This window comes from Homo sapiens, chromosome 15 (assembly GCF_000001405.40).
Source record: "Homo sapiens chromosome 15, GRCh38.p14 Primary Assembly".
NCBI classification, from domain to species: Eukaryota; Metazoa; Chordata; class Mammalia; order Primates; family Hominidae; genus Homo; species Homo sapiens.
In genome coordinates, this window is record NC_000015.10 from 66,472,402 (window position 1) to 66,489,471 (window position 17,070).

A 17,070-nucleotide genomic window follows, 5' to 3' on the forward strand; every position below is an offset into this window, starting at 1 on the left:
ATGGTTTCCTGCTTTACAGTTTTGTTATCAGAAGAGTTTTTCTCACTTCAATTAGAAAGTTCTGAGTGAGGACTCCTGATTGGACTGTTAGGGGTCGTGTGCCCAGACCTATGAGATCACCGTGGCCAGGTGACAGGGAGCTGTAAGTGGCCCAGCCTGGGTCAGGGGGCTGCCCTGTAGCCAGGGACAAGGTTCTCATTGTGTCAGTCTCCACCTTAAGCTGCATTTGCCCCAAAGAAGTATGTGTGATGAGGAGACAAGGAATGCCTGACATCTGTCTTTAAATTGTCAAACACATTCTTCTAAGTCTTTCCATTACGGGTTATCCCAAGCTAGGAATAACTGGTGAGTAGTTTCTTGACCTTTTTTCCAGACCTTTTTTGGTGAATTATGTTAAGCTGTGACCCAGGCACAAATGGGGAGGCCATACTTTGGTGGAGCCTGGGTCACATAAATATGGTGACCTTACTAGAAATTCTTTCCTACTTACTCATTGTTTAATAATGAACAGAACTCTGGCCTATCTTCTTTTGTCATTGTTTAACACCCACCTCACTACCTCCCACCTCTCCTGCTAAACAAAATTAGCCTTCAGCAGGTCAAAACAGATTTTTAGCTAACTTCCGTTTCTTGAATAGCATATGATAAGAACTCAAGTTAGCCAGGTTTGTTCTCCTGCCTGTAGGTGGTTGATTGGGTTTGTGATACTGTGATACATTGCATATCTGCTCCTCTGAGGTAGCCCAAATAATCTGGTGGGGGAAATATGCTGTTTTAATGTTATTTTGTGACCTTTGGCAAGAGATTTTATCCTCCAGCCTCAACTTCCATATCTGTAAACTAGGACTATTCTGCCAAATATTACGAAGGGTCATGAAAAATGAGAGATCAGGCTGGGCGTAGTGGCTCACGATTGTAATCCCAGCACTTTGGGAGGCTGAGGCAGTAGGCTTGCTTGAGCCCAAGGGTTTGAGACCAGCCTGGGCAAAGCTGGGAGACCCTGTCTACCAAAAAAAGAAAAAGTTACTTGGGCATGGTGGCGTGTGCTGAAGTGGGAGGATCGCTTGAGCCTAGGAGGTCGAGGCTGCAGTGAGCCATGATCATATTACTGCACTCCAGCCAAAAAAAAGAGTGCTGTCAGGGAATCTGGGATTCATAAGCATTTCCCTTGACTGCTCTTCTTTCCTTTCTTTTATTATACCTCTCTTCTCTCTGTACCCCCTATACCTTTTGCTCTGGCTTTTGTTACATCCTGTATTAAAATTTTAGATAATTTATGTTATTTTTCTTTTTTGAGACAAAGTCTCGCTCTGTCACCCAGGCTGGAGTGCAGTGGTGCAATCTCAGCTCACTGCAACCTCTGCTTCCCGGGTTCAATGAGTTCTCATGCCTCAGCCTCCTGAGTAGCTGGGACTACCGGTGCACACCACCATGCCTGGATAATTTTTTTTGGTATTTTTAGTAGAGACAGAGTTTTGCCACATTGCCCAGGCTGATCTTGAACTCCTGGCCTCTAGCAATTCACCCGCCCTAGCCTCCTGATGTGCTGGGATTACAGGCCTGAGCCACCATGCCCGGCCTAAAAATTTAGATAATTTATTGGAATGTTGTGTGCCAATGAAAAGCAAATCCTAAGCTCCTGCAACATCATCTCATGTTTAATTGTCAGGGTTTGTGGGCCCTCTGGGTCAGGGGATGAGCAGTGAATTGGCAGAGAGGGGTGTAGGGAGGGTAGAGAAGGAGAGCATTTCAAAACTAATGAGGCTTGGAAGGGAAGGAAGAAAAGAAACTTAAAATGCAGTTTCTGGGCTTGGTTGTAAAAATCTTGAAAGTGAGGGAGATAAAAATAGTTGCTTGTTAGGACCTGGCAGGCATGCTCTGGAGGCTCCCTGTTTGAATTCAGTTGCTAATCAGGAGGTGGGAAACAACCTCTGGTTCCTGCTGTTAGCACCTTTCTTGCAGTTGGCCTTGTCAAGAAGGATAATGGGCTGGAGCTGAGAAAGAAGCATCGTGCTCACTCGCTAAACTGGAGTGGAGAACTATTCTCTCCTTACTGAATTTCAGGGATTTCAGCCTGCCCCAAGTCAAATCCTTGTTCCCAGAAATAAAGCTCATTACATCTGTAATGTGAATGATTCCTTCCCCGGCCACAGCTCAATAAGGGCTCTTGTGAAACTTTGGAGTACAACTTATTATGGGTTGCCTTTAGTCCTGTTGTCTGGGCCCTGATTTTTTAGATCCTGGAGAGAACGCTCCCTCAGGGGTCTGAGTTCTAACCCTTGGCCCTATCGTTAACTCCCTGTGCCACCCTAACAGGTGACGCCTTCCTATTCTAGGCCTCAGTGTTTCTCATCTGTGTGCAATGGTTTATAATGCTTACCTCACAGTGTTACTGTAAGGATTAAAGAAGATAGTATATTTGAACTGGGGAGGCGGAGGTTGCAGTGAGCTGAGATCATGCCACTGCACGCTAGCCTGGGTGACAGAGTAAGACTTGTCTCAAAAAAAAAAAAAAAAGTATATTTAAAAGGCCTGACATAGCAGGTGTTCCATAAATCAGAGCTGTTGTAGGATCTTCTTAGGTCTGCTAGGCTCGCCTGCACCTCTCATTCTCCCACCTAGTCTCTCAGCTGCATCCTGGCTTTTTTTTCCCAATGCTCTTGGGGAAGGAAATTTGGGTGGGGGAAAAGAGCTTACAGGTAATGGCTAATTGAAGAGTTGGGGATTTTCTCAGAATTTTAATTATCTCTGCTACTTAATTAGCTCCTTGAGGCCATGGATAGCTGGAGGTGGCTCTGTAGAGGGTGCGATTTGACTCATCCAGGTCAGCTCCCTTTCTCTCTGTTTCTTCATCTTTAGTGGGGAGAGTTATTAAGGCTTTGCCAAGGATACTAAGAAGAGGTTGTTTGAAGCCTAAAGTCGCCATTTTAAAAAATCTTCATTTGCCTTTTTTTAAAATCCTTTAACTGTTGCTTATCTACTTTTGGATTCAGCCTTTGTCACAGATGAGCAAGAATCCAGCTTCCCTGTGTCACTCTGCTTGCTTCTCAGCAGCCCCTTGCTCCTTCCTTCCACCTCTTCTCTTTCTTTTGGGCTCCCCACTTCACCCCTCCACTGCCTTTCTCTTCCCCCAAGCCCCACCGTCTTCCATCTTGCCTTAGGGAATTCAGCTGCTTTTAATATTAGCCTAAACCAAACAAAATGAAGGTATTAGGATATAGTGGAAACACATAGAAGGCCGAGATTCACCTTGGTTCATCTACCTGCCGGGGGCCTTGTCAGCTACTCAGGCTATCATCTGATGGGTGGCACCCATCCCACCTGGTTGGAAGAATTTAGAACGAGTCCACGGGGCCTTGACCACATCTTCATCTTTGCCCTTACACGTGCACATGTTCTTGTCATTTGTTGGATTCTGTCTCCCCTGATGGTGACAATCCCTGTGTCCTTTTTACTCTTAGCTCAGTGCAGATACTCTGTGTTTCTAGAATAAATAAATGACTCCCTAAATTGTTTTATCCAAACACCTTATTTTAGAGGGGTAGAAAATACTTAATAGTTAAACTTCAAAATGTGTGCTCTTGAGGGAAAAATCAGGAGGCTTTGAATAGTGTTATTCCTGGGACAGAAAATATCGGAGAAGAACATACTTTCTGAGTTTTTCATAAAACCTCCTTGTTCATTTTTGAGGAAGGAGGGGTTACCCATACTCATTGTCACAGAAGCTGAGCAGAATTGGGGTTATTAGATCTCAGCCTCCTGTGGGATTCCTAGGGAAGCTTATGAGCCTGGGAGCCTACTGGGTGGTTGATGCTTCCTCCAGAATGTAGCCTGGCCAGCCAGCTGCTGGGGACCCTCTCAGCATCACCTTTCAGTTATCAAAGGATCAGAAAGAGAACGCAAGGCCCAGAGGTGGCCTCAGGAAGTAGAGAAGGACTGGGCCTGTGATTTGAATGTTTGAGGGCTCTGCTAGGAGAATGTGAGAGGAAGCCCAGTTAATCCTCCCAGGACTCCAGGAGCAGGGCATTATCCCAAGTTGGGAAGGGGATTCAGAAGAACTAGGCATCTAGGAGTAGAGGTGACAGGGTGATTTGAAAGGAAGACTTTTTAGATGCAAGGACCAGCACAAGAGAAGGCGAGACTCTTACACAGGGGCAGTTAGAGAGGCAGGCCAGCCCCAACCAGGAAGAAGTGGATGTGGAGACGTGTTGTGGTGTGAAGTTGGAGAGGAAAGGAAGAAACAGTGGAGGGCATGGAAAGGCAGGCAGAGGGGCTGGGGACTGTGCTCTGAGGCAGAGGGCAGCCATGGCAGGCTCTGTGCAGGGGCTGTCCCGCTGGAGGAGTGCTGGTTTCTGTGTAGGCGGGGGGAGGGAGAAGATGCTGGAGACAGGAACAGTGTGTGAAGGGCCTGGCTATTGTGGGAAGCAAGTGTGGGGTGCTGAGGAAGATCAAGAAATGAATTCTCTCTGGACTTGTCTGCCATCATGTACCTCTTTTCTGTCCCCAGAGAAGAGCTAGACTTGGGTGTGGCAGGAGCAGGGGCAAGAGGGATGTCCTAGCCTGGCGGCTCCAGCAGCATGCTCTGGGGTTCAGTGATCTCATGTGCCCAGGTTTCCAGGTGGCTTCTTGTGAGGCCCTCCGGGATCTGGCTCCCAGGACCAATGTGGTCTAGCAGTGAAAAGCCCCTCAGAATTTCCCTTCTCCTCCTCTCCAACCCCTTCCATCTCTGCTGCCTCCTAGGCAGTGTTTTTCCCTGGAGCGGGTGGGAGAAGCTGGAGCTGACAGCCAGGGATGGTGGCAAGCTGTGTTATGTAAGTTTGAAAAAAGGAGGCTTGCTTGCCATGTGAATAGAGATCAGATACAAGGACAGCTAGAGGCAGCACAGCCATGCCTGAGCAGCAGCTGTAGTCTGAAGAGAGGTGTCTGAGCCAGCAGAGGAAGAAGCTGCTGGACTGGGTGGAGGAGACTGTTCTTGTGGGGAAGGAGAGGTGTCTGGTTCTGTGAACTGCCGATCTTGGAGGGCAGCCTGTGAAGCAATCATTGTCTATTCCTATAACATGGTGTGCTGCTTATATGCCATGCCTTATTACATCAATCCTGGTCTGTAACTTGTGATGGTATGAGAGCCGCCATTGTGACTGTTTCAATCATGGCAAACCATGGCCCAGAAAAGTCAAGTGACTTGCTCACGGCTGCATGTAGAGTAAGTGGCAGGGTCAGGATTTGACACAGGGCTTCTGTCTCACTAGCCAGTGCTGCTCTTTTACTCTAAAACAGGCTTAACAGATCATGCCTAAACAGCCCATGGGGAGAGTGTGGGCCGGGTGAGGGAGCCTGGTGCCGTGTGGCCTGGCATGGATGAGAGGCAATGGCACTGGGTGGGAGGAGTGGAAGAGGGCTTGTGTTGGAGCCCCTTGGTGTGCCGCCCCAGCAGGCGCTGTCACACCCCTTACCCTTCTCAGTCTCGTTCCATTTTCAGCATCATTTTCCAAATCCTGAACACCTGACCTCCAGGGGCCAGGTACCCAACACCGGTCCTCTGAGGGGCCATGGGCATGGTGGGATGAGGAGGTACACCTCCAACAAGCAACTGCTGGACTCATGCCTCGGCTGAAGTGTTTGTGGGCTCTGTCCTAACACTAGGCCCAGGGAAAGAACAGAGCTCGCCCCTCTCCTCCCGAAGTTCAGAATCTCCCCATGGTTCTCTGAGAGGCTGCATGGCTCGCTCCCTCTCTCTGTTCACATCGTTGCTCAAATGTCCTCTCCTCACAGGGCCGTTCCTTGCCACCCTGTCACAACAGTACCCCCTTACTCTCTCTGTCCTCACAGGGTTTTATTATATATATATATAAAAATCTGTGTATATATATTTAACATATATATATATACTATATATACCTGTATATATATAGTATATATATATGTTATATATACACACATATATGTTAAATATATATACACACATATATGTTAAATATATATACACAGATATGTGTGTGTATATATATATATACACACAGGTATATATATATACACACAGGTATATATATATACAGGTATATATATATATATACAGGTGTATATATAGAGGTATATATATATATATTTTTTTTTTGAGACAAGAGTGTCACTCTTTGCCCAGGCTGGAGTGCAGTGGCACGATCTCGGCTCATTGCAACTTCTACCTCCCGGGTTCAAGCAATTCTCCTGCCTCAGCCTCCCTAGTAGCTGGGATTACAGGTGATGTGCTACCATGCCCAGCCAATTTTTGTATTTTTAGTAAAGACAGGGTTTCACCATGCTGACCTCAAATGATCTGCCTACCTCAGCCTCCCAAAGTGCTGGGGTTACAGACGTGAGCCACTGCGCCTGGCTGGGTTTTATATTTTTCTTTGTGCCACTTAAGACCACCTAATGTTACATATTTGTTCATTGATTTGTCTGTCTCCTCACAATAAAATTTAAGCTTCATGACAGTGGGGGACTTGGTCAGTTTCTTGACTGCCCACACAGAGCCCACAGGTAAGGTAGCAGGTGTTCAGTGGACAGTAGGTGATGACCGTTAGAGCATGGCAGCAGGGTGGGTAGAAGAGGACAGGTGTAAGTGTCAGAGGGCCTGGGATCTGCTTTCAGCTTTACCCAGTTTTTGCTGTGTGACTTTGAACAAGTTGCTGGATCTCTTGGGCCTTAGCCTTCTTTTTTTTTTTTTGGAGACAGAGGAGTCTCACTCTGTCACCCAGGCTGGGGTGCAGTGGTGTGATCTTGGCTCACTGCAACCTCTGCTTCCCGGGTTCAAACGATTCTCCTGCCTCAGCCTTCTGAGTAGCTGGGGATTACAGGCGTGTGCCACCACACCTGGCTAATTTTTGTATCTTCACTACAGAGAAGGTTTCACCATGTTGGCCAGGCTGGTCTTGAACTCCTGACCTCTGGTGATCTGCCCACCTAGGCCTCCCAAAGTGCTGGGATTACAGGCGTGAGCCACCATATCCTGCTGGGCCTTAGACTTTTTGTTTTCATCATGAAGGGGAGGAACTAGGTGCCCTCTAAGGCTGCTTTTGGCACCTCTCTTCTGAAAGTCTATGTGTAGGAGACGAGGGTCGCAGAGGGGTTTGCAAAGATTTGTATCCTGTGTTCCTTTACTGAAGAGCCTGACTTGGGTCTGCACACTGTGGGGTAGGGGAGTGACATGATGAGGGCTGGGTCTTAGGAGGACTACACCAGTGATGCAGTGTGTGCATGCATGTATCCATGGTGCATTTAGAACCATTCATTCAACAAGGGCTTTTGGAGCACCTGCCCTCTGTCAGATACAGTTTGGGCTCAGGGCTTAGAGTGGTGAGGCAGACAGCCAACGTCCTGCCCTCCTGCAGCTGATTGGGGCAGAGAGAGGCTAGAGCTGGCCTGGAATGGTGATTACCCCCAGGCTGAAGATGAAGAGGGGCCAAGTGGAGTTGGGGCACTGGGATATTAGAGGGTCATGATTTTTTTTTATTATTTTTATTTTTATTTATTTTTTTGAGGCAGAGTTTCACTCTTGTTGCCCAGACTGGAGTGCAATGGCGTGGTCTCAGCTCACTGCAACCTCTGCCTCCCAGGTTCAAGTGATTCTCCTGCCTCAGCCTCCTGAGTAGCTGGGATTACAAGCATGCGCCACCACGCTAATTTTTTATTTTTATTTATTTATTTAATAAATATATTTTTTGAGATGGAGTCTGGCTCTGTCACCCAGGCTGGAGTGCAATGGCATGATGTCGGCTCACCACAACCTCCTCCTCCCAGGTTCAAGTGATTCCCCTGCCTCAGCCTCCCAAGTAGATGGGATTACAGGCGCCCACCACCACTCCTGGCTAATTTTTGTATTTTTAGTAGAGATGGGAGTTACGCCATGTTGGTCAGGCTGGTCTCAAACTCCTGACCTCAGGTGATCTTCCTGCCTTGGCCTCCCAAAGTGCTGGGATTATAGGTGTGAGGCATCGCCCGGCTTTTGTTTTTCAATTTGTCCTTGGAAAGATACTTAAATAGACCTGTTTGAATCTGTTTAAGAATAAATAGCCAGCCATGGTGACTCACGCCTATAGTCCCAGCTACTTGGGAGGCTGAAGCAGGTGTGTTGCTTCAGCCCAGGAGTTCAACTCAGCCTGGGCAATGTAGTGAGACTCTGTGTCTAAAAAAAAATAATAATAAATGCATTCATATAACAGTATCGAAGAGAAAAATAATGAAACGTTATTAGTGGCTCTGCTGGGTTGTATTATAGGAGGTTTGGGTTTTTTCTGTGATTTTCTAGATGTCCTATATGGTGTCTATATTATGACTATTAATATAGACACCATATAGGTTTGGGATGTCATGGTTTAGCATGTTTCCTAGATATGGTCTGCCCTCAAAGTGAGTGTCATTGTTTGCTGATGTCTGCTCCACAAAGCCCTGCTCCAGGGGCCTTCACCAAGTCCCAGCCTTGGTTTGCTCACCTATAAATGAGGATAATTGACCCTGGTCTATGCACATTACAGGACAGTTGTATGAATCAGAGGATACAGCGGAAGAAAAAATGTTTGGAAATTTAGGTCTCTGCAAACTAAGGGCCAATGTACTGGTATTTGTGACAGTGACCGGATGGGTGGGATGGGGTGATAATAAGAGTGCAAGGAAGGGGGATGGGGGCATCGTTTTGACTCTGAGGAGCAGCTTTAAGGCCTCTCACATTCCAGCTCCAGGTAGCAAGGGGTTCCCCTTGACTGGCAGGGTAGATGTACCTGTGTAGGCTGTTAGGTGAGTGACTCCAGTGGAATGGAATGGAATCATGACTCAGCTCCCACCCTGCCACACATATTTGTAAGAAAAAGACCCACATGCTCCATGCCTGGTGCAGAAGTCTAGAATGGGAATTCCCGCCAAACCCTGTCCCCTTCTAGCCTGTGTAGCCTCAGCAAGCAGATAGGTCTTATTACTTGTTTTTTTCTGCCTCCTTCATGATCCAGCCATAGATACTATATCTTACCAGTAGGGGTGGTTGAAGCAACAGACTTTGAAATCCTGACTGTTCATGATAACGGACTCCTTCCTGTGGATCATCTGGCCAAGTCTGCATTCTTAGAGAGTGGAAATCGACTGTCTTTCTGTTCTACTTCTACAGCAGCTGCTCATTTCATCTCCTGACAGTTGCTTCTTGAACTCAGAACAAAGGGCCTTGGTGTACAGTGTTTGCAAGCCAAGGGCTGCCTCTGATGGCGGACGGGGGTGTGGTCCTGGGACTCGTGGTCAGGGCTGGTCTGTGTGGAATGCTGATCCTTCTCTTCCCCAATCTACCTGTGTCAGTTCCCTCCTTTTCTATTTTCTCTTCCCTGCAGATGTCAAGCCCTCCAACATCCTAGTCAACTCCCGTGGGGAGATCAAGCTCTGTGACTTTGGGGTCAGCGGGCAGCTCATCGACTCCATGGCCAACTCCTTCGTGGGCACAAGGTCCTACATGTCGGTATGAACAGAAGTTTCCATTGCTTGAGCTTCTTGTACGGTCAGGGAGAGGAGCCCAGTGGGTGCCTTTCCTGTGGAGCCAGAGTCTTGTGCTGGGTAGGGGACAAGAAGTGAGGGAGGAGGCACAGTGCTCTGCCCTGAGGAGATGAAGTTGAATGGGAAGATGGTCTTGGTCTTTCTTAGGCCTTGGAGCATAACTGGGATATTGGGGCCTTGACTCACTGAAAGGACTGTCCAGCTCCAGAGTGTGGCTTTCTTTCTGAAGGATTGTGAGCTCCAGCTCCCCTCTGGGCATCTCTACATGATAGTCTTCAGATCCACAAACCCAGGATGCTCAGATATAATCCACCCCAAACTACCTCACCTTCTCCTTTTCTCTTAGCAGTAAATAGACAGCATCATCTCCCTGGTTTCCCAAGGTAGAAACCTGAGCATTGGCTCTTAACCTGCCTTCTCAGCAGCCCGTCCTTTCAGTATCTTGTAGCTCCCAACTCCTGAGAGTCTGTTCAGAATTGTCCAGCCTCTTTTCTCCCTCCTCACTATGTCTGTCAGACATGTACCCCTCCTTCTAACTGCAGCATACCTGGACCCCTCGCCAGAGTCTCTGCTCCACTTCAGCCAACACCCTGTGTTGAGGGTATTTCCTCCTGCTCCTGGCTCTGCTGGCTCACACTGTCACCAGAGCATTGTGTGGGGCCATCCTCACACTATGGCAGCACCAGCGTGTTTTCTTCCCTCCTCCATACCACCGGTTCCTTGGGGACAGGGACAAGGTGTCTCTCTTGTCCCTAGTGCCTGGCATGGGGCCTGGCATGTGGTAGGTGTTCAGGGAATGCTTGGCAAGTGGGTAGATGTTTAGTTGGCTGAGTGGGAGGGTACATGGATAAAACATTTCTGAGAATGATTTGGAAAGGTGGAAACGTGAGTCTGGGCCAGTGCTGAAGTGCGGCAAAGTGGAGGAGCGTTGGAGTGAGTAGGCAGTCTTTACAGAAGTGGCGGGGAGTGCAGGCCCGCGTGGAGAGGGGGACAGGCGCAGAGGCTCAGATCTTAACTTGTACAAAGCATTTTATGTGTTCTCTGTCAAAGCACATGTCATGTCCCTGGAAGGTCTCATTTGATCCATGTGGTTGTCCCAGGAAATAAAGATTATTGTTCCCATTTTAGAGGTGAGGAAGTCTAGATTCAGGGAGGTTAAGCAACCTGCCTACTTAACCTTGCTGAGCCAGGATTGAAAGCTAGCTGCCCCCTTGCCAGGCAGACGCCCTTTGCACAGCACACCCTCATTTGCCTCTTGGGGAGGATTTGGCACCTGTGCCCAGATCCCAGTGTGAACACATCCTCATTCCTTCTTGCTGGCACCTACCCCCCACTGTGACTCCAGCCACTGTCAACATCACTCACCTGGCACTGACCCACATCCCCACCCCTCCCCTCCAGTGACCCACAGTGGAACTCTCTTTCTCTGTCATCTCCTCATTGCTTCTTCCCTAAATGTCTAATAACTGAGCAGCTGGCATCCTGGGCCATTTGACTGCCAACTCTCAAGTTCAAAATCCATTAACAGGCCCTGGGAGTTACTAATCAAGGGTTTAATGGTTGGGGTTTTTGTGGTTATATGGTCAGTTACGAAATAGTCCAGTGTTGGAGTTAGTGAAAAATGCTACTGGAGAAGTTAATGTCTACGTGAATATACTATGGGCAGAATAAAGATTTTTTCGGTAGGGTTCTTGAAATACATGTGCTATTTCAAATAATGCTCATTAAAAATAATGCTTTTGTATAGCACTGTATACTTTTTTTCTCTTTGGCTTTTCCCACCAATATCAACCAATATTTGTATTGCATTTTACAACATTTGACATACATTTTCTTTTTTTTTTTTTTTTTGAGACGGAGTCTCACTGTGTCACCCAGGCTGGAGTGCAGTGGTGCAATCTCGGCTTACTGCAAGCCCTGCCTCCCAGGTTCACTCCATTCTCCTGCCTCATCCTCCCGAGTAGCTGGAACTACAGGCGTGTGCCACCACGCCCGGCTAATTTTTTTGTATTTTTAGTAGAGACGGGGTTTCACCGTGTTAGCCAGGATGGTCTCGATCTCCTGACCTTGTGATCCACCCACCTCGGCCTCCCAAAGTGCTGGGGTTACAGGCATGAGCCACCGCGCCTGGCTGTACATTTTCATTTGATTTGATCTTCTTAGTAATCCTAAGTAGAGTTTTCTTATATCATTGTTACTGTCATTTTCATCATCATCAGCCACCACCCCCCCCCACCTTTTTTTCTTCCGACATGGAGTTTTCGCTCTTCTTGCCCAGGCTGGAGTGCAGTGGTGCGATCTTGGCTCACTGCAACCTCTGCCTCCCGGGTTCAAGTGATTCTCCTGCCTCAGCCTCCCAAGTAGCTGGGATTACAGGCATGCACCACCATGTCCAGCTAATTTTTGTATTTTTAGTAGAGATGGGGTTTCACTATGTTGGCCAGGCTGGTCTCGAACTCCTGATCTCATGTGATCCGCCTGCCTCAGCCTCCCAAAGTGCTGGGATTACAGGTGTGAGCCACTGCGTCCCGGCCCAGCAGCAGCCCCATTTTATAGATGAGGCTGATATTCAGGATCTTTTAGCTTGTAAGTCCCGGAATTGGGATTTAAGTCTCAGGCCCACTGACCCCAGATCTTTTGTTCTATGTATCCACGGCACCACCTCACTCCCAACCCGCATTCCACAAGCTTCATGTTTCAGATTCAGTGACAAGATGAGCCTCTCATGCTGGGCTTCGGACAGGCTGCCCTGCGTGTGCAAGACTGTGGCCAAGCTGGGTAAAGCTGGAACCACAGGCTGTAGTGGCAGCCAGGGCACAGCTGATTACATGTGGTCTGTCAATTTAGGCCAGATTATAGGAGAAATAGAGCAGGGATGAGGGGTTAAAGCCACAGAAGCCAGCTAGGATTTGGTAAACACAGTGTTGGGGGTAGGCAGGAGGCCAAATTCAAGAGGTTAGTGGAGCTCTTGAAACAGGATATGAACTATTGAGAAGGGACAGAAGAGAAAATGCATTAGCAGACCCAGGGGTCCAAGTTAGGTTAGGTGATTATCACTGTCTGTCTCTCCTGCAGCCAGAAAGACTCCAGGGGACTCATTACTCTGTGCAGTCAGACATCTGGAGCATGGGACTGTCTCTGGTAGAGATGGCGGTTGGGAGGTATCCCATCCCTCCTCCAGATGCCAAGGAGCTGGAGCTGATGTTTGGGTGCCAGGTGGAAGGAGATGCGGCTGAGACCCCACCCAGGCCAAGGACCCCCGGGAGGCCCCTTAGCTGTGAGTAGCCTGGTGTGTCCCCATCTTGGACTGTTGGAGGGGAGGGTCCCTTACTTTCAGGGGTTTCTGGAGGGCTGATTCTCTGTACATTCTGCCAAGACTGATTCTCTGTCCCTGGATGCCAGGCTAGGGCCAGGGGAAGCAGCAAGGGTCTCCAGGTGGGTGTTGTTACTACCAACAACTTCCTACCATTTGTTGAGTACGTACTATGTTCTAGGTACTGCACTTAGGACTTTATACATTATCTAACCTTTTGTATTTATTATTTTTATTATTAAGGGTCTTGCTATGTCGCCCAGTGCAGTGGCTAGTCACAGTCTTCAACTCCTGGGCTCAAGCAGTCTTCCTCCCTCAGCCTCCAGAGTAGCTGGGACTACAGGTTATAATTTATTTGCGGGGGTTGGGAGGGAAGGGGCTCACTCTGTCACCCAGGCTGGAGTGCAATGGCATGATCACAGCTCACTGCAGCCTCAACCTCCCAGGCCCAAGTGATCTTCCTACCTCAGCGTCCTGAGTAGCTGGGACCACAGTCACATGCCACCATGCTCAGCTAGGTTGTTGTTTATTTTGTAGAGATATAGTCTCCTTATGTTGCTCAGGTTAGTCTTGAACTTTTGGGCTCAAGCAATCCTCCCGCCTCAGCCTCCCAAAATGCTGAGATTACAGGCATGATCCACCATGACTGGCTTCTAATTTGTGGGTTTTTTTTGTTTTGTTTTGTTTTTGATACTGGGTCTTGCTCTGTCACCCAGGGTGGAGTACAGTGGCGCCATCATGGCTTACTGCAGCCTTGACCTCTTGGGCTCAAGTGATCCTCCTGCCTCAGCCTCCTGAGTAGCTGAGACCACAGGCATGCGCCACCATGCCTGACTAATTTTTTTAATTTTTTTGTATAGATGAGGTCTCACTATGTTGACTAGGCTGGTCTGGAACTCCTGGGCTCAAGTGATCCTCCTGCCTTGGCCTCCCAAAGTGGTGGGATTATAGGCATGAGCCACTGCATTCTAATTTTTTAATCATGACTTTTGGTAGATTTATTTTTTATTGAGATATAGAATTCACATAAGACAAAATTCACATTTTAAAGCATGTAGTTCAGTGGTTTTTAGTGTATTGTTCCATGTTGTGCAGCCATCACCACTGTCTTATTCTGGAACATTTTCATTACCCCAGCAAGAAACCCCATCCCCCACTCCCCCCTGCCTGATCCACTGACAACCACTAATCTACTTTCTGTGTCCACGGATTTGCCTAGCATTATATAATTTTAATAGCATTTCATTTGTGATCACGACTATAATCTGAATTTTAAAGATGAGGAAACTGAGGCACAGTGCACTTGTCAAGGCCACATAGGCTTGCAAGTAGCCAAGTCTGACTCCCAAGATGATAAACACTGTGCAGTACCACCTGCCTCTCTGAATGTGAATACTGGGAAGTAAACCTGGTACTCAGGGAATAGCCTGACCTAGCCAACTGTTTTTTATGTAGCTCCTGTCTGGCCAGGGATACCTGCCCTGTACCTCCATGAGGTCCACATGAGAGAGAGCTTGTATAAAGGGGAAAGCAGAGGGGGCTAGAGGTAGCTGATGGCAGGTCATTGGAGGGGCTGGTGGCTGTGGCCTCTGAGGCTCGCCAGTGACTCTAGGAGACAAAAGGAAGAAACGCAACTTCATGGAGAATTAAAACTAAGTCCTTTAGTTATTTAGTTGCTATCTCATTTGTGCCTCTCTCAATAGAAGGAAGGGGGAAAGGACAGACATAATTATTATGTCTCTGCTTTACAAAACTCAGAACTTTGTTTGGCTCAGCAGTGAACTGATTTGCCAAAGGTTACGAACTTAAGATGTGGCAGAGCCCAGACTTGTACCCTGGCCTTTGCTGGTCCCCTCTGTGTTCAAGCCTTATCTGTGGCTGTTTAATGTTTATTGTCCATGACCCTGTTCTGGTCCCAGGGATCCATGCCCAACCCCTTGCCTCATATTAACAAGTAATCTGTTTCTGAGAAGTATTTTTTCTTTTTATAAAATTTGTAGCATACGGAATGGACAGCCGACCTCCCATGGCAATTTTTGAGTTGTTGGATTACATAGTCAACGAGGTAAGTACTGCCTGGTTTCCTTCACCTTGGAATTTACTTGCTCATCTTAAGAAAACACCCAGGTGGCCGGGTGCAGTGGTTCACGCCTGTAATCCCAGCAGTTTGGGAGGCTGAGGCGGGTGGATCACACGAGGTGAGGAGTTCGAGACCAGCCTGGCCAACAAGGCAAAACCCCATCTCTACTAAAAATACAAAAATTAGCTGGGCATGGTGGTGCACGTCTGTAGTCCCAGCTACTCGGGAGGCTGAGGCATGAGAATTGCTTGAACCTGGGAGGCGGAGGTTGACTCTGGGAAAAACAAAACAAAACAAAAAAACAAAAAAACACATCGCTGTCACAGGTTCAGTCTACTAGGGAGTTTAATTTAACCTCTCTTTACTGTATGCACAGCTTTATACTAAGCACCATGGGCTGTAGAAAAGCAGTTTCAGGATTAGTTCGTCGCTGCTTAAGGATTTGAGGGAGGCAGAGCATGTTGCATTTGTAGGAGTCAGAAAAAAAGCCATCCATCCTCTACTGCTGGGGACCTAGGCTAGGTGGTTCTGGGTGGTAGTCATATTAAGGGAAGGGATATCTGAGGTTAGATACGCCATTGCGTCTCCTAGTGTGCACTGCTTTCTTCCAAATTTTCACATTAATTTCCCATGCAATTCTCCCAAGCATTGCTGAGGTAGGCCAAATTGGTTCCTCTTCAAACAGGTGAGGAAATTGAGCCTCCGAGATGAAAAGTAGCCCAGGTCCTTCCCACCCAGTGCTCTTTCTTCCTTGCCACCTCCCACCTCCCATTCTTACCTCCTAGGAGGCTTGGCTGCATGGCAGTTGTTCTACTGCAGCCTCTGCTGGCACACAGCCCCTCTGCTGCCTAGCTCTTTCCTGTTCAGAAGGAATGGATGCTGCCTCTGGAGGCCAAGCTGCTGGTCTCCTCTCTTCCTTGAATGGTCCCTTGATTCCCTCAGCAGTGGGGACAGTCTGCAGAATGGGGCTTGCTCTGGGTCACTGTTCTAAGAGCTGAGTTCTAGTCCTCACCTAAGATCAGACTGACATGGCCCTCAAAGGAAGAGCACTAGGTTGGGCTTTGTGGTGGGGATCAGTGTCTCATTTTTAGTCCCAAATTAAAAACGAGATTTTGGGCTGTACATCAGAGCAGTGACATCATGGACATTATGTCTGTGGGTCAGCATGGGTACACACAGCTCCCAGCCCAGGTACATAAGTGGGCCCACATTTCCTGGACTGCATGGAACGCCATGAGCCCAGTGCTCCAGAGCCTTGTACTGTATAGTGCTGCATGATCACCATGGGAAAATCTGAAAACAGCCTCATTTCTGGAATGTACAGGTAACATTCTTCCAGATCCAGCCCTCTGTCAGTTAATGTTTTATTAACTTTTCACTGCTTCTCTAGGGCTCAGAAAAGGGATTTTTAAAAACCGGTTTGCTTCTGCAGGTGCTGTCAGACCTGGGCTATGCCTGGTGGTTTGCACGTGCCCCTAGCTGTTGCTGCCAGTAAATTGCTGGTTACGTTCCCATGCCGCACTCCAAGATTTACCATTGTAGAGTGTCAGAGCTTGAAAGGGTCCCTGAGATCATTAGGCCCAACCTCTTCATGTCATAGAAGAGTAAACTGAGGCTCATAGAGGAATAGTGATTAGTTCAAAATCACCCGACAAGTGAGTGGACTTGACTTGGTCCCAATTCTAAATGTGCTATTTGAGATCAGTGGTTCCAACATGGTTACCCAACAGGCAGCACTGGCCTTCTACCTGTGCCTTTCCTTGACTGGATGAGAGTAGTACTGCCTTTGGACTGCAGAGAAGACTTTAAAAAAAAGTAGCACTGGCTGGTGGGAGGGGTGGGATGGGGAGAGGAGATGGCTGGAGCAAGGAGCCAGGCATTTTTCTTATCTCAACATGTGTTTGCAGCCTCCTCCAAAACTGCCCAGTGGAGTGTTCAGTCTGGAATTTCAAGATTTTGTGAATAAATGGTAAGTTGGCTCCTTGTTCTCTGGAAGCGTATACTCTGGATTTGTCAGGCTCCCCACCCCATTTCTGGAAGCACCAGCATTGCTTCTGCAGGCAGAGTTTTGCCCTTTACCCTCCCGTCTGATGATTCTTGGCTGCTGCCATAAGCCCTTTTTTAGAGTGCCAAGACTTATGTGGCATGTCTAACTACATCATGG

The 17,070-nt window shown here is 47.9% G+C and overlaps 1 protein-coding gene across 4 annotated transcripts in view, besides 4 other annotated features; it reads left to right on the forward strand.

The window, feature by feature from the left end:
- The window catches only part of MAP2K1 (mitogen-activated protein kinase kinase 1), a 104,633-nt gene that overhangs the window by 85,490 nt on the left and 2,073 nt on the right, over positions 1-17,070 (forward strand). For all 4 annotated transcript variants that reach the window (NM_002755.4, XM_017022411.3, XM_011521783.4 and 1 more), the window contains 4 exons: positions 9,354-9,478; positions 12,589-12,790; positions 14,827-14,891; positions 16,814-16,875. In NM_002755.4, the coding sequence (NP_002746.1) occupies positions 9,354-9,478; positions 12,589-12,790; positions 14,827-14,891; positions 16,814-16,875 (454 nt within the window). The remainder of the gene's footprint in view (positions 1-9,353; positions 9,479-12,588; positions 12,791-14,826; positions 14,892-16,813; positions 16,876-17,070) is intronic.
- Positions 214-263: an enhancer, noted in NCBI's record as "active region_9614". NCBI's record gives its function as "activates an Ori minimal core promoter by ATAC-STARR-seq in GM12878 lymphoblastoid cells {active_cell/tissue: GM12878}" and the evidence as "EXISTENCE:reporter gene assay evidence [ECO:0000049][PMID:35858748]".
- Positions 2,484-3,160: an enhancer, noted in NCBI's record as "H3K27ac-H3K4me1 hESC enhancer chr15:66767223-66767899 (GRCh37/hg19 assembly coordinates)". NCBI's record gives its function as "activates a minimal SCP1, AML or CMV promoter by ChIP-STARR-seq in primed H9 embryonic stem cells {active_cell/tissue: H9 hESC(primed)}" and the evidence as "EXISTENCE:reporter gene assay evidence [ECO:0000049][PMID:30033119]".
- Positions 3,818-4,341: an enhancer, noted in NCBI's record as "H3K27ac-H3K4me1 hESC enhancer chr15:66768557-66769080 (GRCh37/hg19 assembly coordinates)". NCBI's record gives its function as "activates a minimal SCP1, AML or CMV promoter by ChIP-STARR-seq in naive H9 embryonic stem cells {active_cell/tissue: H9 hESC(naive)}" and the evidence as "EXISTENCE:reporter gene assay evidence [ECO:0000049][PMID:30033119]".
- Positions 4,342-4,865: an enhancer, noted in NCBI's record as "H3K27ac-H3K4me1 hESC enhancer chr15:66769081-66769604 (GRCh37/hg19 assembly coordinates)". NCBI's record gives its function as "activates a minimal SCP1, AML or CMV promoter by ChIP-STARR-seq in naive H9 embryonic stem cells {active_cell/tissue: H9 hESC(naive)}" and the evidence as "EXISTENCE:reporter gene assay evidence [ECO:0000049][PMID:30033119]".